At 36.8% G+C, this 20,745-nt stretch overlaps 1 annotated feature.

Annotated features, from left to right (window-relative positions):
* Positions 18,986-19,506: an enhancer, noted in NCBI's record as "VISTA enhancer hs129". NCBI's record gives its function as "enhancer in: eye[2/4]" and the evidence as "EXISTENCE:transgenic organism evidence [ECO:0001131][PMID:17130149]".

A 20,745-nucleotide genomic window follows, 5' to 3' on the forward strand; every position in this document is an offset into this window, starting at 1 on the left:
TGTTACTGGATTGTTTAGGTGTTAATTCTTCCTAATTTAATCTACATTCAACAGATTCCTAATAAAAAGCCCAGAAGGCTTTTCTTGCGTAATTCACAAATAGTATCTAATTTTGTAATTGTCAAATTACAATTTTGTATTGCCAGCTCACAAGAGTGGAATAAAGTAAATCATTCCTGCTCTCTTAACTCAATTTTGCAAATGACCTAAAATAGATGAAACATTTGGAAAATTAAGAAAGTTACAGGACTAAAAGTATTTTATTTCAAGACAATAAAAAGCTAGAGTAATCAAGACAATGTGATTTTAGTAAGATACATACATGTTTTAACATAGGTCCCTATGCAATTCAAAAGGAAAAATCTTTACAACAAATGCTATTAGAACTACTGGATATTCATAGGAAATAAAATAAATATGAACCCTAGACCATAGTGAAACAGGATAGTTCCCTTGACCCCTGTGTGGGACTTGCAAAGGAGTTGGCTTGTTTACTTAGCACACTGCTCTCAACCCCTTGCAGGAGGGGGAACATGCAGGTGAATGGGTGCAGAGGCTGGGAAAAGCATATCTGGGCCATTTGCAGGAGCAGTACTCTGTGAGGGCCCACAGCAGTGTCTAGGGGTTGCTCACAATCCCTGGAGTCCCAGAAGGCATGTGTTAGAAAGTGCTCTTTTAGCTTTGCCATCTATGGACAACTTAAATATTAAACAGCTCAGTGGAGGGTCAGTGTGATAGCCTCTTGAACCCACACCTTGGTCCTTGTCCAGCATCCAGGAAGAATCAGGTCACTCGAATGAACTGAAGGGTGGCAAATGTGGAAAATTTTATTGAGTGGTGGAAATGGGTCTCAGTTGGATGGGGAACTGGAAAGGGGATAGAGTGGGAAGGTGGTCTTCCTCCAGAGTTTGGGCATCTCTGGCCAAACTCTTCTCTTAGGTCCCACTGTCAAGCGATCGCTCTAAAAGTCAAGCCGCTTCTCTCCAATGTCCGGCTGCTTCTTCTCTTTCCTTCTCTGACACTCTGTTGCTCCACCAGTGGGGCCTGGGGATTTTATGAGTACAAGATGGGGGATGGGTTGGGCCAGGTTGGTTTTGGAAAAGGCAACATCTGGGCAGGAAAACAGGATTACATGTTCTCACTTTGGGCCATGGGTCCAGGCTTAATGGTGTGACCCTCACCAGGACTGCCCTCTTTTACCCAATATTTCCCTGCCTCCTGTCCATGTTAATAGTACACATAGTTTAAGAAATTTATTATATATAAAAGCTAACAGTTTAAGAATACTGAAAAATCAAGAGAACATCTTTGCAACCTGAGATAAGCAAATACTTTAAAATAAATATTTGTCTTAAATGTCTATTTAAGCAAATATTTCTCTTAAAAATTAAAGTGCAGGAAGCACCACACATAAAAATTAATAGCTAGAAACTATTCAAAATTAAAGACTTTTTCTCTTCAAAAAATGTGATTAAAGAAATGAATGCCAGGTGCTGTGTCTCATGTCTGTAACCCCAGTATTTTGGAAAGCCAAGGCTGGTGGATTACCTGAGGTCAGGAGTTCAATACCACCCTGGCCAACATAGTGAAATCCCATCTCTACTAAAAATACAAAAATTAGCCATGCATGATGGTGCATGCCGATAGTCCCAGCTACTAGGGAGGCTGAGGCAGAAGAATTGCTTGAACCTGGGAGGTGGAGGTTGCAGTCAGCTGAGATTGCACCACTGTACTCCAGGCTGGGTGACAGAGTGAGACTTCATCTCAAAAAAAAAAAAAAAAAAAAGAAAGAAAGAAAAAAGAAATGAAAAGGTCAGCATAAAATGGTGGAAAACATTTACAATACAACACAAATCTATCTGACAAAAGATTTGTATCTAAAATATATAAAATCATCAAAACATTTCATTCAATTTGAAGAAATCAGCCAAGGGCAAAGGCTAATATATTTTCAGAGATATATTAGGACACACTTACTAAAATAGCTAAAACAAACATTTTGATAATTTTAAGTGTCAGTGAGAATACGAGGAAACTGAAACTTACAATCACTTTGAAACACTAGAAGCTTATTCAAATTATAATATTCACTTACCTGGCCATTCTACTTCTAGGTATTTACCCAGGAGGAATGATGAAAATGTATGCCCATGCATAGATTTGTTCATGAATGTTCATACCAGCTTAATTTTCAAAACTGAAAAACCAATGTCTACACACTAGTATGTCCATACAGTAGAATACTACTCTGCAAAAACAAACAAACAAAAAAAAAAAAAAACAAAAAAAACCCCAGAATGTTGTATGTCAGTGCACACAACAATATTTGTAAATCTCAAAATTCGTGTGTCTAGTGAAAGAAGAAAGACATAAAAGAATATGTATCATACTATAAGAGTGAATTAATATAAAATTCTATGGCGTTGGGGTGCAGTGGCTCACACCTGTAATCCCAACACTTTGGGAGGGCAAGGCAGATGGATCACTTGAGGTCAGCAGTTCGAGACCAGACTGGCCAACATGATGAAACCCAATCTCTATTAAAATTATGAAAATTAGGGTCATTCCAAGATGGCCAAATAGGACAGCTCCAGTCTGCAGCTCCCAGCGTGATCACTGCAGAAGACAGGTGATTTCTGCATTTCCAACTGAGGTACCTGGTTTATCTCACTGGGACTGGTTGGACAGTGGGTGCAGCCCATGGAGGGTGAGCTGAAGCAGGGTGGGGCATCGCCTCACCCAGGAAGCACAAGGGGTTGGGGGATTTCCCTTTCCTAGCCAAGGGAAGCTGTGACAGACTACCTGGAAAAATGGGACACTCCTGCCCAATTACTGTGCTTTTCCCAAGGTCTTAGCAACTGGCAGACAAGGAGGTTCTCTCCCATGCCTAGCTTGGCAGGTCCCATGCCCAAGGAGCCTAGCTCACTGCTAACACAGCAGTCTGAGATAGAACTGCGAGGCAGCAGCCTGGCTGGAGGAGGGGTGTCCACCATTGCTGAGGCTTGAGTAGGTAAACAAAGCGGGTGGTAAGCTCGAACTGGGCAGAGCCCACCTCAGCTCAACAAGGCCCGCTGCCTCTGGACTCCACGTCTGTGGGCAGGGCATAGCTGAACAAAAGGCAGCAGATAACTTCTGCAGACTTAAACGTCCCTGTCTGACAACTCTGAAGAGAGCAGTGGTTCTCCCAGCATGGCGTTTGATCTCTGAGAATGGACAGACTGCCTCCTCAAGTGGGTCCCTGACCCCCATGTAGCCTAACTGGGAGACACCTCCCAGTAGGGGCCAACAGACACCTAATATAGGAGGCTGCCCCTCTGGGACGAAGCTTCCATAGGAAGGATCAGGAAGCAATATTTGCTGTTCTGCAATATCTGCTGTTCTGCAGCCTCTGCTGGTGATTCTCAGGCAAACAGGGTCTGGAGTGGACCTCCAGCAAACTCCAACAGACCTGCAGCTGAGGGACCTGACTGTTAGAAGGAAAACTAACAAACAGAAAGGAATAGCATCAACATCAACAAAAAGGTCATCTACACCAAAACCCCATCTGTAGGTCACCAACATCAAAGACCAAAGGTAGATAAAACCACAAAGATGGGCACAAACCAGAGCAGAAAAGCTGAAAATTCTAAAAATCAGAGCACCTCTTCTCCTCCAAAGGATTGCAGCTCCTTGCCAGCAATGGAACAAAACTGGACGGATAATGACTTTGATGAGCTGACAGAAGTAGCCTTCAGAAGGTCGGTAATAATAAATCATTAACAGACAAACAGAGAGCCAAATTGTGAGTGAACGCCCATTCACAATTGCTACAAAGAGAATAAAATACCTAGGAATCCAACTTACAAGGGATGTGAAGGACCTCTTCAAGGAGAACTACAAATCATTGCTCAACAAAATAAAAGAGGACACAAACAAATGGAAGAATATTCCATGCTCATGGATAGGAAGAATCAATATGATGAAAATGGCCATGCTGCCCAAAGTAATTTATAGATTCATTGCCATACCCATCAAGCTACCAATGACTTTCTTCGCAGAATTGGAAAAAACTACTTTAAAGTTCATATGGATCCAAAAAAGAGCCTGCATTGCCAAGATAATCCTAAGAACAAAGCTGGAGGCATTACACTACCTGACTTCAAACTATACTACAAGTCTACAGTAACCAAAACAGCATGGTACTGGTACCAAAACAGAGATATAGACCAACGGAACAGAACAAAGGCCTCAGAAATAACACCACACATCTATAACCATCTGATCTTTGACAAACCTGACAAAACAAGAAATGGGGAAAGGATTCCCTATTTAATAAATGGTGCTGGGAAAACTGGCTAGCCATATGTAGAAAGCTGAAACTGGATCCCTTCCTTACACCTTATACAAAAATTAATTCAAGATGAATTAAAGACTTAAATGTTAGGTCTAAAACCGTAAAAACCCTAGAAGAAAACCTATGCAATACCATTCACAACATAAGCATGGACAAGGACTTCATGACTAAAACACCAAAAGCAATGGCAACAAAAACCAAAATTGACAAATGGGATCTAATTAAACTAAAGAGCTTCTGCACAGCAAAAGAAACTACCATCAGAGTGAACAGGCAACCTGCAGAATGGGAGAACATTTTTGCAATCTACCCATCTGACAAAGGGCTAATATCCAGAATTTACAAAGAACTCAGACAAATTTACAAGAAAAAAAAACAAACAACCCCATCAAAAAATGTGCAAAGGCTATGAACAGACACTTCTCAAAAGAAGACATCTATGCAGCCAGCAGACACATGAAAAAATGCTCATGATCACTGGTCATCAGAGAAATGCAAATCAAAATCACAATGAGATACCATCTCACGCCAGTTAGAATGGCAATCATTAAAACGTCAGGGAACAACAGATGGTGGAGAGGATGTGGAGAAATAGGAACGCTTTTACACTGTTGGTGGGAGTGTAAATTGGTTCAACCATTGTAGAAGACAGTGTGGCCATTCCTTAAGGATCTAGAACTAGAATTACCATTTGACCTAGCAATCCCATTACTGGGTATATACCCAAAGGATTATAAATCATGCTACTATAAAGACACATGCACATATATGTTTATTGAGACACTATTCAGAATAACAAAGACTTGGAACCAACCCAAATGTTCATCAATGATAGACTGGATTAAGAAAATGTGGCACATATACACCATGGAATACTATGCAGCCATAAAAAGGATGAGTTCATGTCCTTTGCAGGGACATGGATGAAGCTGGAAATCATCATTCTCAGCAAACTATCACAGGGACAGAAAACCAAACACTGCATGTTCTCACTATAGGTGGGAATTGAACAATGAAATCACCTGGACACAGGGCGGGGAACATCACACACTGGGGCCTGTTGGGGGGTCGGGGGATGGGAGAGGGGATAGCATTAGGAGACATATCTAATGTAAATGATAAGTTGTTGAGTGCAGCAAACCAACATGGCACATGTGTACCTATGTATCAAACCTGCACGTTGTGCACATGTACCCTAGAACTTAAAGTATAATTTAAAAAATAAATAAACAAATAAATAAAAGGAATATATTATATTATATATATAAGCTGGGTGTGATGATGCCTCCCTGTAATCCCAGCTACTCAGGAGGCTGAGGCAGGAGAATCATTTGAACCTAGGAGGCGAATATTGCAGTGAGCCGAGATGGTGCCACTGCACTCCAGCCTGGGAGACAGAGAGAAACTCTGGTTCCAAAAAATAAATAAATAAATAATAAATAAATAAATTTCTACAAAAAAGCAAAGTAATCTATAGTGATGAAGAGCTGACTAGTAGTTTATTCTTGCCAGGAGAGCAGAGATGCATGAACTGCAGACAAGCACAAGGAGACATTTGAGGGTAAGAGAAATGTTTTGTGTTTTGATTGTGGCTGTGGTTTCATAGTTGTATGAATCTATATTCATAAAATTGATAACTTTAAATGGAGTCATTTTTTGTATGCAAATTTTACTAAAATAAAATTAATAAAAAATATGAGTTAGACAAATAGTGAAGTGATATGTCACTTGCACTAGGGAAGTGGATGTATGAAAGTAATGGCAAAAATCACAATTACTTTTGCACCTAGATAATATAATATGTTTAGAAATGTACAGCTATAAGAGAGAGTCAGCTTTGATAACTGTTCTATTGTATGGAGAACCTGTGCCAGCTCACACTAGTAGAAGTGAAGTAAATCCTTTTCAACCTTCTCACCTTTTTATTTTTCTACTCCTTACCTGATGAGTCAGAAGCTCACCTATTCACTTGGTGCAAATGGAGAAGGCCTGGCAGGTACTACAAAGAAGTTGGTAGTACCAGTTTTTCCCTATGCCTGCTTTTTGAAAGAATTGGGCAAAAGGTTTAACATTAAATGGGATTTGAATGTATTTTCTTACTACATTGAGTTGAAAATACTGATTTTTGATCTACAACTATTTTTACATCTAAAATTGAAGAAAGACTTTTGCAATATCCTGTAATGTCCAGAAATGTCACAGGGACTGTCTAGTTCATTTTGAGCCAAGGAGGAATTTGTAGGGATTTGGATGGGCTGTAAAGAAAATGAATGTATTTGCTATTGATTCTCTTGAAATAGTTCTGTTTGTTTACTATTACTGTGACTAAACAGTTGTAAAAAACCAACAGAATGATAATAGGCTACTAGCTTTCAAAGATCTTTTGCAGATTATATAAATAAAACCCTCTCCCCAGTTAGCTAAAAAACAAAGCAGGAAATATATAATGAAGCAAAATCATGATAACTTTCACACTGTACCCGCTAAGCAATGACTTACTGATGCAATTTCAGTACGTGTACAACTGTCAAACAAAATTTTTAGCAAAGACAATGAACTATAAAGTAGAGGATGAAGAAATTACAGATGAGAAAAGATGTGAAAAATCAAAGAGAGTATTTAGAGAGCAAGAGGCTTAGACTGTATTTGATTAATATAGGTGAATTTACCCTCTTTGTCCCCTCAACCTCCAATTTGCATATTTCTCTATTTCTATGCTATCCCAGGTCTAAGAGCAAAATGCAGCACTGATAGACATGAGAAAGTAAAATATTCTAGTTCCATTCTAGCCTGGGTCTCGAACTAATTGAGGGATCTTGAAGAAATTGTTGAAGTTCAGTTTCTTTGGACCGTCTTTTGGACCAGGAAAACAATTCCACATTGATAGCCATATACACTAAGAACTATAGTCTAAATTTTAAGGAATCTGCACAATGGAATAGAGATACATGGCGAAGCTCTCTAGATGGGACCCCAGAAAACTGGTAGGAATAGGAAGTAGATATGTATCATTCAAATCCTACCATCAAGAATTAAAATCTGAGAACTTTTTGAATTAAGCTCTAAAGTAAGCTTGCTAATTAAGGGTCTCCAAGGCTATGTATTGTTTTGTTTTGTCAGACAGTTTTAGCAATTTGAATTGGAATGTCTATAGCTGGGGCACGTGCTGTCTAGTTAACCAGTTTCTACAACTTCCTTTTATCTTATTCCAAGCTGTTTCAGGTATTTTACGTATATGTCTACTGTCCGGAAGTCTGAAGCTTGAGACACTCGTCAACGTAAACTGTATGTACAAAGACTGGCACTCTCTTGCTTGCCACTATACTTTAAGCATAATTCTAAGAATACAAGAAGCAGTCAACTCCTTCTTGGGAAGGTGACATTTTAAAAAATGGACTAGCTGCAGTTTAAAAAACACCCTGAAGCTACAGCTTCCATTGGAATTTGAGAGCTTCTCTAAATTTTACACCTGATAGCTTCTTCCAATTTTGTCTGCCTTATTTAGTTTAAGGAATTATTTCTGGCCTAGCACAGTGGCTCACGCCTGTAATCCCAGCATTTTGGGAGCCAAAGGCGGGCTGATCACTTGAGGTCAGGAGTTTGAGACCAGCTTGGCCAACATAGCAAAACCTTATATCTACTAAAAATACAAAAATTAGCTGGGCGTGGTGTTGTGTACCTGTAGTCCCAGCTACTGAGGAGGCTGAGGCAGAAGGATTGCTTAAACCCAAAGGTTTCAGTGGGCTGAGATCATGCTGTGGCACTCCAGCCTGGGCAACAGAGCAAGCTTCTGTCTCAAAAAAAAACAAAAAAAAAAGAAAAGAAAAAAAAAACAGAATTATTTCTGTAAATACTGTCAGCTTAATGATGGGCTTATGACCTTGGGAACAGTAAAGCTAAGTAGATACCACATCTTTTTTCCCCCATCACTGCAGTGGTTATGAGACTGTTTTAGGTTTGTAATAAAGAATGAGACTCTTTTTTTTTTTTTTTTTTTTTGAGATGGAGTCTCGCTCTATCACCCAGGCTGGAGTGCAGTGGCGGGATCTCGGCTCACTGCAAGCTCTGCCTCCTGGGTTCACGCCATTCTCCTGCCTCAGCCTCCCGAGTAGCTGGGACGACCGGCTCCCGCCACCACGCCCGGCGAATTTTCTGTATTTTTAGTAGAGACGGGATTTCACCATGTTAGCCTGGATGGTCTCGATCTCCTGACCTTGTGATCCGCCCGCCTTGGCCTCCCAATGTGCTGGGATTACAGGCGTGAGCCACCGCACCCGGCCCCGAGACTCTATTTTTATATTTGACTGCTCACAGCTTTCAGGCACCAGTGCTCCTTCGTCCACTTCTTTCCCACATTGGACAAGCTGTGAAAGTCCAGTGCTCACACTCCTTTGGCACCAGCAAGAAACTCGGACCATGCAAGCCATAGCCCTTGTAAGGAAACCATCACCTCAATCCCAACCCCAATCATAATAAAACCCCAACCCAGTTACCTTGTTTTTGTTCCCTCAAGCATGTTTTTTTTTTTTTTTTTTGCCTGCTTGAAGTCCACCTTTCTTTCACCAGAAACCTCCTCTTGGCTTGTGTGGATATATGTGTGGCATCATCATTGGTTTTACATCTAAACCAATGTTTGGGTAGAGAGTCCGTCACCCTTGTTCAGGGTGACTATAACAATTGGCACAGTGAGCAACATGTCTTGGGAGACCCACTATCAGTGGAGTCCTATTGTCTTGCTTTGGTCTGTTCACTGACTCTGTTGCTGCTCTCCCGTATGCACCTTAAGCTGCTGCCTATTGACTAGCTTGAGGATTGAAGCTCATTATAAAATATGTATTTAAGGAAAGGGTGATTATTCCCATTGTTTCTCTGTTTGACATTCCAAGTGGGCCTGTTTTTAAAACTGGAGAGAACAAATAGCGACTCACCCTGGATTATCCCAACTTTAATGCCATAGAATAGTCAATTAAGATCCCATATCCAATATTATTAAAATCACTGACTTTATCCAATAAGCAACTGAAAAGTAGTTTACAAGTATAGATTTGGCTAGTATGTTCTGTTCAAGACCAATTTGAACAGCCTCTCAGTCACAGCCTGACTTCACCTTTGAAGAAACATGATATACATTTTCCCAGCTACCCTTTTGGATTCCTCAAAAGCTCTGCCATTGCACAAAATGGCAGGCAAGATTTGGCAGGCAAGATTATGCAGGCAAGATTTTGCAGACAAGATCTTAGCCACATCTAACTTTTTTCAAGGGTACAATTCTGAGATCACACTGATGATGAGATGAGAGAGTTCCCTGACCCCGTCGTGGGACTTGTGACAGGGGTGTGACTTGTTTGCTCAGCTGCTGTATGCTTAAACCTCTTAAGGATGGGGAGCATGTAGATGGGCAGATGCAGAAGCTGGGGCAAGTACTTTTGGGCTCCAGCCCCATGGTAACATGTAGAGGTGTGTTACAATTAATGCTATTAGCAGCTGCCGTCCTCAGACAGCTAAGTGTTAAACTAGCTAGTGGAGAGTCAGGATGACAGCCTTTTACACACTGCCTTCTTGGTACCTGAGTCATTGTCTGGTGGCCAGGTAGAATCAGGTCACACAGACTTGAAGGTTGGCAAATTTGGTGATTTTATTAAGTGATGGAGGTGGCTTTTGGTGGGATGGATAGGCAACTGGAAAGGGGATGGAGTGGGAAGATGGTCTTCCTCAGGAGTTTGGCTGTCCCACTTCCAATCTCCTCTCCAACCATCTCCAGTCAAACTCCTCTCAACGTTCAGATGCTCCTTCTCTTGTCTCCTTCTCTGCCTCACCACTCTTCTGCTCGTGGAGACTGAGGTTTGGGGTTTATACAGGTACAGGATAGGGGAGTGGCATGCCAGAGGGGTCTTGGAAAAGGCAAAATTTGGGCATGATAACAGGAATACCTGCTCCCATTTAGGGCCATGAGTTTCCAGGCCTGAAAGTGGGGACTTTGCCAGGGAAATACCCTGTCCTACCCAGTATTTCCCTGCCTCATGTCAATATCAATAACATTCTCATCCAAGGAAATTCATTTTAAACTTACACAGTAGCTCAAAAAAATGGGATGGGATATTACCTTCCACATAGTACAAGACCCTTTTACCTTAATTAAATTTGTGAAATTTACTTGGTAAGCTAAGAGCTTGCACTATTGATCCTTTCATCATCCACCATATTATTACTAGAGTGGCAAACCTTTTCAGACTCTCTTGGTGGCTATTTGATATCACCAATCCTAAGAGCAAAACCAAATTTTGAGCTGGGGATGAGAGGATGACCGCAACAAGGACACTACTTCTGGAGGCCCTATCAAGATTTGCAAAATAACCTTAAAGCTTTCTTTCAGTTGTAATAGTCAATACTTCTAAATATCATGATTTCCAATAGAAGTGCCCTGTACATCTACGGCATCTTCCCTCCTATTTTCTTTTTCTCTCTCCTTCCTCCTTTGGTGTTTTCATATCGTTGATTATTTCATTCACCCTGAATAGATTAGAAACCAACATGTGCAACAATCTCCTTACCAGTATTTGCTTCGTTGTAATCTTTATATAAGTTGAAATGTTCTATAAATGCCATGCATATACTTTGACCTTAGATGAAGTTTGCAATTTTATTATCACATTTGATTGCTTGCATTAATTCCTGATCTGAAATTGTTTTTAAAACTAAAATTAAAGAGAGGAATCTATGTTATCTGAGTAATCAAAAATGTCATTATATCTATTTCTACCATAAGGATTGAATTTTAAAATCTCATTCTTCTTTTCAAAAGGGGAAAAAATGCACAGTAATTTAACAGGTGAGTCTACTGTGTTGTGTATGGTAGCTGTGATTTTAAGAATAGGATAAGTTGTCAACATTATCAAACTAGTAATGCAAGAAGAGGAGCGTTATTAGCTTTTTAATCTTTTGACTAAGATAAAATCAACATATTCTTTCTGTCTTTGTAGGCATAAACAAGTTAATTATATAGCCACCAATTCTAAGTGGGTCACTTATTACTTAGTTTATATGAAACATTTCAGATAAATAACTTCAGACTTACAGCATAACACAAAAACACTATATATATCTAAACCTGGATTCAGCACAAAATTCTAAAGCTAAGCAATCAAGATTTTTAAAGTAATTTTTAATGAAAAATTTTCTAAATTATGTTTATGCCATCTCAAAGACATAAATTATCAAAATTTTCAGTATTCCAAATCAACAGGTGATTCAGTGTCACTATTTGTCATTTCCTGGTGTCTCTAAATCTGGGTCTTGCTGTAATGATTACTATAGTCATAAAACCTATTGCACTGGGTTTTGGGCTTTTCATCAGTGAAACAGTTTAGCTCAAATTGGAATTTCAGGCTATACCCTGAAGAGAAAAGATCTTCTGTTAAGTTATAGAACTGACAAAGCAATTCTTTTAAAACAAAACATTTTTGAGGTGTGATTAACATCAAAAGGCTGTACATATCTAATGTATACAATTTGATGAGTTTAAAAATAAGTATGAAAGTGGAAAAAAGGCTTATTTAGAGGTGATCAAATAATTTTTTTGAAATAGGCATTCTTGTTCTGGAAGCTAGCCTTGAAAGATGACCCTGCAGTCCTACTACAATGAGCAGTGCCGCACAATACGCATACCCTGGAATCTGGGTTGGCCTTGTTACTCCCTTTTGATAGAATGCAGAAGTGATAGAGTATGACACATGACTTTCAATTTTAAGTCATAAGATGACTTGCAGCTTCTGACAAAATCTCTTGAAATGCTTGTTCCAGGAAAAGTTAGCTACCATGCTGTGAGAGAGCTCAAGATAGCCATGTCAGTGGCCCATGTGAAGACAGAAAAGGAGGAGAGACAAACAGAGGGAAAGACAGAGTGAGAGAAAGAGAGAGTTAGCCTCTACATATTATAAGCACCTAAAACTGTTCATCATTACATGAGTAAAGTGTGAATAATTTAAGCTACAAGCCCAGTTGAATATCCAGATGACTCCAACTCCTATCACCTCTAATTGAACTGTATAAAGAGCTCCCAATTGGCCACCTGTGCTGTTCAAATCATATAACTGGGAAAGCTAATCTTAAATTGTTTTAGCGTTGTGTTTTGTTTTGGGCAATGGGGGTGTGTATGTAGCAATTGATAACTGAGATAGGATTTCTTACCAGGGATATGAAGTATGTCCATTACAAAAACCTCATATACATGGCACTGTCTTTGGGATGAAATGGTGATCTTCAAACCATAAAATACCAACAAGAGATTAGTTAAAGGCTAAAGGACAGAGAGAAAATTGTTATTAGAGGCTGAATAAAAACAGACATATGTTAAATGGTGACAAAAAAGTTTGGCAAAACTCTGGAAAATAGAAATAAGCCTAATTTACTAGTGAAGTTGGCTAAAGAGATTGCCACTCGGAGTGTTTAATGTGCCAATGCATTTATTTTAGCTGTATTTAATAAAGCATGTCCGGAGAGACATGAACTAAAGAAGGAGCTGTTCGGTTTCAAGCCAGATATAGAGAAAATATTTCAGAAACAGAACCTACTGGATTCAAAATGAACTGCCCTATAATTGCATATTTCTCACCCCTAGAAAAACTCTCAGATAAGAAATAACTTCAGCCAGCAAGACTCTTTGTTAATACATCAAAATATTTATGGCAGTGCATAGCCAATCTGTTCAGTGAGACTAAAAGATTTCTAAGAATTATAAGGGCATTGCCCAACAGCACTCTGATTCTCAACCCAAGGCAGAGAGAGCCCTGTCTCAAAACAGATTTCTGAGTGTGGCTTCTGTCCACGCATGTGAATTAACATGTAACACAAAAGAGAAGAAAGAAATGTTAAGGAAATTATACCAGCTTGGTCTGTAAGTGACAAAGATAGCTCAAAATGAAAGGAGGGCATTTAGGTTCCAGAACTTCTACAACAATAAAATAGAATAAGAAAGCTATTCAGCATCAAATATGGTCACTTTTTTTATGGAAAAGAAAGAATGAATCAGAAGGTAGAGGCAAGAGGCACAGAGAACCAAAGATCCAGCAGTAGGAACTTGATAGGATTTGAGAACTGCTACTAGTAACAGCAATGTGTCCTGTGTTGCCCTCTTTTTGAATAAAAGTATGTGTTGAAGTGTTCCCATCCATGTCTTATAAAGTGCATGTATTTGTAGAACCCAGATAATCTCCTTTCACAATTATCAGGTCATGAGGAGTCACACCTAAGGAATTACACATGAGAAACCACGCCAGAAGACGCTAACCTACTCTTGGAACTATTTAGATGGTAAATTCCCAGGCTAGTTTCTGATGTCTTATTAGATGAGACTTTTGGCATCTTGGGATAGTCTGAGTGCATTTTGAAAGTAGCAAGAATGTAAAATAACTTGTGGTTGGTGGTGGCTGCAAATTCTTTGCCACCCATCTTTTCCAGAGGCAGAATATGGGCTGGCTTTATGCTTTAACCAATAAAACATAGTGGAAGTGATGATGTTTCCTTTTCTGGCTGATGTCTGTAAGAAGATTTGACAACTTCTGCTCCTTCCTCTTGGAAAACAGCAGCCATGTCCAACTACCTTGAGACCTCCATTCTCAGAAGACCAGCCTAGCCACACAGAAAGTGAGAGACTATGTAGAAAGAACTGAGATATCAAACATATGAATGAAAGTTTCTTGGGCCTTCCAGCCAACCAAGGTAAGAGCAAGAACTGAGGTCCTAGAGGTATATATCCCCAATTTATCTATACTGGCTCCCCAGCTTAGTCTCCAGGCATGGAGGAACTGAAACAAGTCATCCCTATACACCCCCCTGAATTCTTGGACAAAATTAAAAGGTCGTTCCTTCAGGTAGGTGATAGAGTCTATTCCCCAGTTGTCTAGGAGGTAAGAGAAAGTTTTACCCGAAACAAGATCTGACCGTGGGCAGACTGATCTCATGGAAATGGGAAATAATGGCATACATTTTGATTGGAGCTTGGTGGAAAACACTATAAAATGTTTCAAGACCAGGTACTGGTAAGAAGGTGTCAAAAAGGGTATGTGGCCCTGGTTGAACAGGCCACAGGCATGGGGGATTCTGAGGAGGCATGTGCCTTAATGGAAATTAGAGATATCCCTAAATAGACCTTTTGCCAACATCGGAATTCATTCAAAAGCTTATCCTGCTATCAGATTCATATATTAAGTAAACAGTTTGCAAACTATCTTTTAGTTGAAGATAGTAACCAAAAACTACACATTAATCTATTTCTTGAAAAGAAGGGAAATTGCAGTCATATTCCTTTTACCAATTGTATTTTATTTCAGAATTTCTTGATTTTTATTTAAGGCAACAAATGGTCTCAGTTAAAAATAATCCTTCCTAACCACTTTTTAAAAATATGTTTAACAAGTTCTGTTCAAGATTCATTACCATATCTGGCTTCTAGATTTCACTTAATCATCACAAACAGATTAAATTTTTTTCCTAGTATGATTGCTTCTAAATATTGGTCATTCTCAAGCAATGTTGGATGGAAAAGCATCACAATCATTTCTAACATGTTTCATGTTTCTTAAGTATGTGTGGAGTTCTTGGCACTGTACAAGTTGTTTTAATTAGGCATGTTTTCTCATGGGATGACATGATAAATGCAAAATACTCGAAGTACATAAAGAGTATGATGTTTAAATATAAAAAAGGGTTACAAAAGACCAAAGGGATTTCTTAGTAATTGATTTTTTATTAATAAGAGAGGGAATTCTAAAAAAAAAATTATAAATGGTGTTATAAAAGCATGAAGAAGGATGCTTTTCCAGTCATGGGAAGCCATTAAATTCTGGAGAATAACCACAGCTATTTGGAACCTGTCCATTTGTGCTGCTATAACAAAATTCTTGAGACTAGTAATTTATAAAGAACAAAAATTTATTTTCTCACAGTTCTTGAGTCTGGCAAATCCAAGATCAAGGTGTTGGCAGGTGTGGTTATCCAGTGAATGCTGCTTTCTACTTCCAAGATGGTGACTTCCTCTGAGGGGAGGAATGCTGTGTTCTCATGTGGCAGTAGGGGGAAGGCTTAAGGGAACCCTGTGAAGCTTCTTTTATAAGGACCTTAATTGCATTCATAAGAGAGGGAAACTCATGGCCTAATCACCTCTTGAAGATCCTGCTTCTTAATACTATTGCATTGGCAACACCTAAATTTTGGAAAGGACACATTCAAACTATAACAAACCCACAGTGGAATTTCAAATAAATGTTGGTGACTGTCAGGATGCTGGTTTGTAATATAATAGTGTTTGATGTCAATTTTTTTTTTTGCTGAAAACATATTTTCTTCCTGCCAAAATTTTTCCATTTCCTGAAATTCCTCAAAATAGATTGCACAAAAATTGTCAAAACTCTCTTTAACAAAAGTTAATTAACACATAATTTAAAAATTAAACTAAGTATATTTTATTAAAATGAAATTTTGTTAAAATGAAATTAAGTCAAGTTAAATATCATTTGGGGAGGAATACAAATCTTTTTGTATTTAAAATTCTATTACATTTTTTCCCTGCATTATTATTCCTCCTTACATCTTAATGGGATGTAAGAGTATGTACCAAGGGGCAAATAAGATCTTTTATACTAGTTGCCAGAGAGATTTCATTTGTGATTTGGAAAATTCATTCATACTCCAAAGATATTATATTCAAAGAATTCACTTAAGAAGTCTTCAACATGAAATCTTAGAGAGAAAAATATAATTTGATAACAGGACAAATAATCTTTTAGTTATGTTAGACAGTTATGTAAATATGTATAATTCTTTTGTAATAAGTTACAGAAGAAACTTATTACAAAATGAACTCATATGGAAGATATGTATAGGTATGACATATTTGCATCTGTATCTGTCCCGAGAAGCAATTTTGATTCACCTATTTCTTGAAAAAAGTAGAAAGTTAGATAATTTCTACTGTTTTAAAGAAATAATAACACAACTGCTGTATTTTTTTTATGATGTGAATTTAAATTAGATTCAGATAAAAAAGAATTATTATGCCATTCAGTTTTATAAAAAGCTACAACAGACAGATTTCTTCTTTAAACCTACCGACTTTACTAGCATTTAATAGGTTATTTTATATCTTCATAATTAATAATTGTATGCAATGTTTATGAATTATATTATTTAAAAATAGGACAAAATATCAACAAATTCAAGTATATGTGCTGTCTTTATCCTTTGACTATTCTTAAGCTTTCATTTGCTTTCTTTAAATATATCTGATTGTATCACTTATGCCTGATGACTATTTTCAGATAATGAACAATGGTATTTTTAATTGTCTGGAGAAGAGTTCTTCCACTCTATAGTTTTGATCCCTCTAGTAAATAGTATATAAGTAGAAGAGAAAAAACCCTATTGAGTAGGCTAGAGTAAGCTATAAAAATCCAATTATTTCTCAATTATATTCTCACAAAAATATATATGGATGGAAACGGCCTGAGAAGAAAAATTAAAGCCAACATTACTTTTACATGGACTTTCTTCTCTCAGAGAAATGTAGAATCTGAGATCTGTAAGGCCCACAGTGTCAGAAAGCTGGGCTACATTAATTGTGATTACCTCTCCTTTTTCTTCTTCTATTTTAAAAACACTGGCTTATTCTGGCTCTGCAGAGATAGCTCACCAAACAGGGAACTCCTCAGTATCTGGCCCTCAACTTACAAAGGAGAGTATTATTTTGAAGACCCAGGTTAATAATGTCAATGGGAATTTCTTTGTGTTAAAATTAAATGGCTAGGGAAATTATAGTTCATTATTTGTGTATCATATTTAGCAATTTATAAATTTATTTTCTGAAGGGAGGATATTATCCAATGATATTTTAAACAATTATATCATATTTTAATTTTTGCATGGGATCTTACAACTGGTGTTCAATTCTATTCTTTAGCGATATTCCTCACAAAGCATCTTTGTAAAGGATCGATTGGAGTCATTGCTTCCCATGACAAACCATTTAAATGTCACACATTTATCTTCAAGGGTTATTTTTTACACAAAGTAAATGTTTGTTTTCCTATGGCTTCTATCCATCTCTTCTTCCTGGAATAAAAGGGAGTAAGATTTAAGTCTTCTTCCATGTTATAAATATTTAGATATTTGAAGAAAATTGTAACATCCATCCTTCCAGGCTTAGCATACTGATTTACTTCTATCATTTCTCAAGTGATATTTTTTTGGCTCCCTACACCACTGCCATGCACAAATGTGAGGCCAAAAAATACTTGTTGAACAAAGTAGAAAATAAACCCCTATGTGTATGGGAAAAGATAGGGAATTAAAAGAAAATTAGAAAGATAGGAAAGTAAAAACATTTCCTAAAGTCTTTAGCCTTGAATGGGACAGAGAATTAATGAATATTCAGATCTTCTTAACATATTATTCTAGTTTCCCTTAACCTGTAAATATAAGGCTGGGGATGTTAAATATTATTAATATAAGAAGATAGGGAATGTGTTCATTAGGAGGCTACTGAAGCATAGCAGTGACATCTTTCTTTGCCCATGAAGCTATGTTTTTTAATAGTAATTTAGATTTTATATGCATTTTTTTCATGTACTATTTCATTCGTAGCAGAAAGATTCTAGAGCATTGAATTTTGGTTCGAAGTCTTACTTTTAAAGTGTATACAGGTGTGTATGTCTCTAGACCAGCATGCATGTAATGTACTAACAAAAAACATATTCACATTTTTTCAACAACCATGTGAAAATCGCATGTATTGAAATCCAGATGGTAGTTTAGAGAGTTATCTGTTACTGTATGTGATCTTGTCTTTAGGCACTTTTTAAAAAAGAAGGCATTGAAGCATGACATCCTCCCTTTCTGCCTCTGCTTTCTTTATGGGATATGTACTCAAAGAGGGCTTAACAGAGCAGTGGCTTCACAAGGGAATAGGGAGTTTAATGAATCATACATACTTTATTTGAAAAATATCAATAACCATTCAGTGGTCTATTCTTGCATAAACTGAATAAAAATCTCTATATAAATGGTGCATAGCTTTTTTTATGAATCATGCTCTATTTTTTAGTACAATGCTAAATCTTCTTAAAACGTGTAGTTTTACCTGCCAAGCCTAAGATAAATTTCCATCAGTGATTAAAGACTAGTTCCATTCCCTATAATCCTTGTCAATTATATGAATAGGCAGTAATGGATCACTTTATTTTCTCTGGTTATTAAAACACAAAATAGTAATGCAAATGCACTGTACAATGTCTCCTTACTAGATTGGCAGTGTAATTTATTTAATCAAATTCAGAAGTCAAAGACAGAGAAACAGGAGTCAGTCTCCTAAAGTCTATGTGGGACAAAAACGTATTGAGCTGTGATATACGTACAAAAAGTCAGAATACAAATTTTAAGTCTTCCAGAGTTCTCTCTTACCATCACACTCACACATAATATTTAGTAAAGAACATTTCAATTTCATTTATAAAGCTATAATTTTTAAACTGTATCTTCAATGTGGACATTCACATTCACTCTGAAGGAAGAGAGTTGATCCTTAAAGGCTATGACTGTGAGGACCATTCATTTTAAAATTTTTAAGTCACAAAGGATAGAACTGAGTCAGATTTGGATTTATCAAAAAGGTTAAATAAAAAGCAGATAGCAGTGTCAGAAAGAGAAGATATGTGGCCCCCTCCTCACTGGACAAGGCTATGAAGAAGCAGCTGGTGGAATCAGGTGTAGATTTTTAAAAAGTGTAATGTTGCTGGCATTATCTCCATGATACTCGTGACCACTGCTTTGAGTGAAAATTTAATAAAATTAACACTACTTTCTTGATTTATTTTTTCTTTTCTTCTTAATCTTCCCTTCAAGATTAAACTCATCAGCACTTGACAAAAACTGCAAATAACAGCCAGATGCAGGAGTTGGTTTTATCTTTTTATGCAAGTATGTGGTGCTAATTAGTGCAAATTGATTAAACTTTAATTGCCTGATCCATGGCTAATTAATATTTATAAGATGAATGAGCAGGAAAACCAGACATTTATTAAAACACTTTAATGATTTTTCATATGTTTTGACAAAGCAAAGCAAATAGATGTTATGAGTATGGATGTGCTAGACTAGGGGAGTGTATCTGTTGCCTTCTTCTACCTGTGAATGCCCTAAAAGTCTACATTAACTTTTAAACACATAAATTGTAAACTTATTTTTCTTTGGGTCCCTCTTCAAATTATTTCCAAATATTTTTGCTATTAAGCCACCCTGTTATTTATGACATAATTATAGCAGTGATAGATATTAAAATTAACACATGCATAAAATTATTTATTTTACTATTATTTATATTATGTATTCATGTATTACAATAGCCATGTGTTAGTACGATGTAAAATGTGTATTTTTAAGCAATAAAATGTATACCAATATTTTTATTTATTTAAGATTTTAAATTTTTTGAAAAAAATAATAATTAGAATATCAATTAAGATCATTAATCATTTGAATATTTAAATTACATAGATCTGATATGTTTCCATTTAATTATCTTGGTGCCTAAAGTTATAATCCAGGGTTCATTCTTAACTGTAAAACTAATTTGACACATTGAAAGCAGTATATGTTAGGTGTACATTGTTCAAAAGTAAGATATATTTATTTCTAAAAAATGTCATTTTGCACATAATCAGTAAAATAATTGTTACATATAATTATTCACAATAATATCAGCTTATTTAGAATGGTAAATGTCTGTTCATTATCTTGATATTTCACAATTAATTCACACAGTCAATATATTTTCAGTAAAAAGTTTTTTCAAAGAAAAACGTTTTGTAAACTTGATAAAATTCTGTATCTTTGTTTTTTATATCCTACATTTAACTTTTATGTTTAATTCTCTAGCATAACAAAGCAGACCCTAGTTCATACTTTCTTGTATATATATCTCTACGTATGTCACTATTTTTTTTATTTTTATTTTATTTTATTTTATTTTTTTTATTATACTTTAAGTTTTAGGGTACATGTACACATTGTGCAGGTTAGTTACATATGTAACTATTTTAAGTGATTATTGTGATCTTGATATTTGGTAAAATTTTTTTTTACCCAAAATCATTTTGTAGTCTTAACAAAAATGATTTTAAATGATTTTCTAAATTAAGTAGGTTAAAATATCAAAATGATCACCTACATAATTATTACTTACTTTAAGTTAATGCATAATAAATTCTAAAATGAAAAGTCAGCCCGCTTCCCTTTTCTCAATTCTTCCATCTGAAAATGTTGCAAATTTTATTAAAGTTATATCAGCAATTGTGATGGTCTTTTGATGGGTCAACATGGCTAGGCTACAGCTGATAGTTATTTAATCCAACACTGATCTAGAT

Source organism: Homo sapiens, chromosome 13, assembly GCF_000001405.40.
Source record: "Homo sapiens chromosome 13, GRCh38.p14 Primary Assembly".
In the NCBI taxonomy this organism is placed as follows: Eukaryota; Metazoa; Chordata; class Mammalia; order Primates; family Hominidae; genus Homo; species Homo sapiens.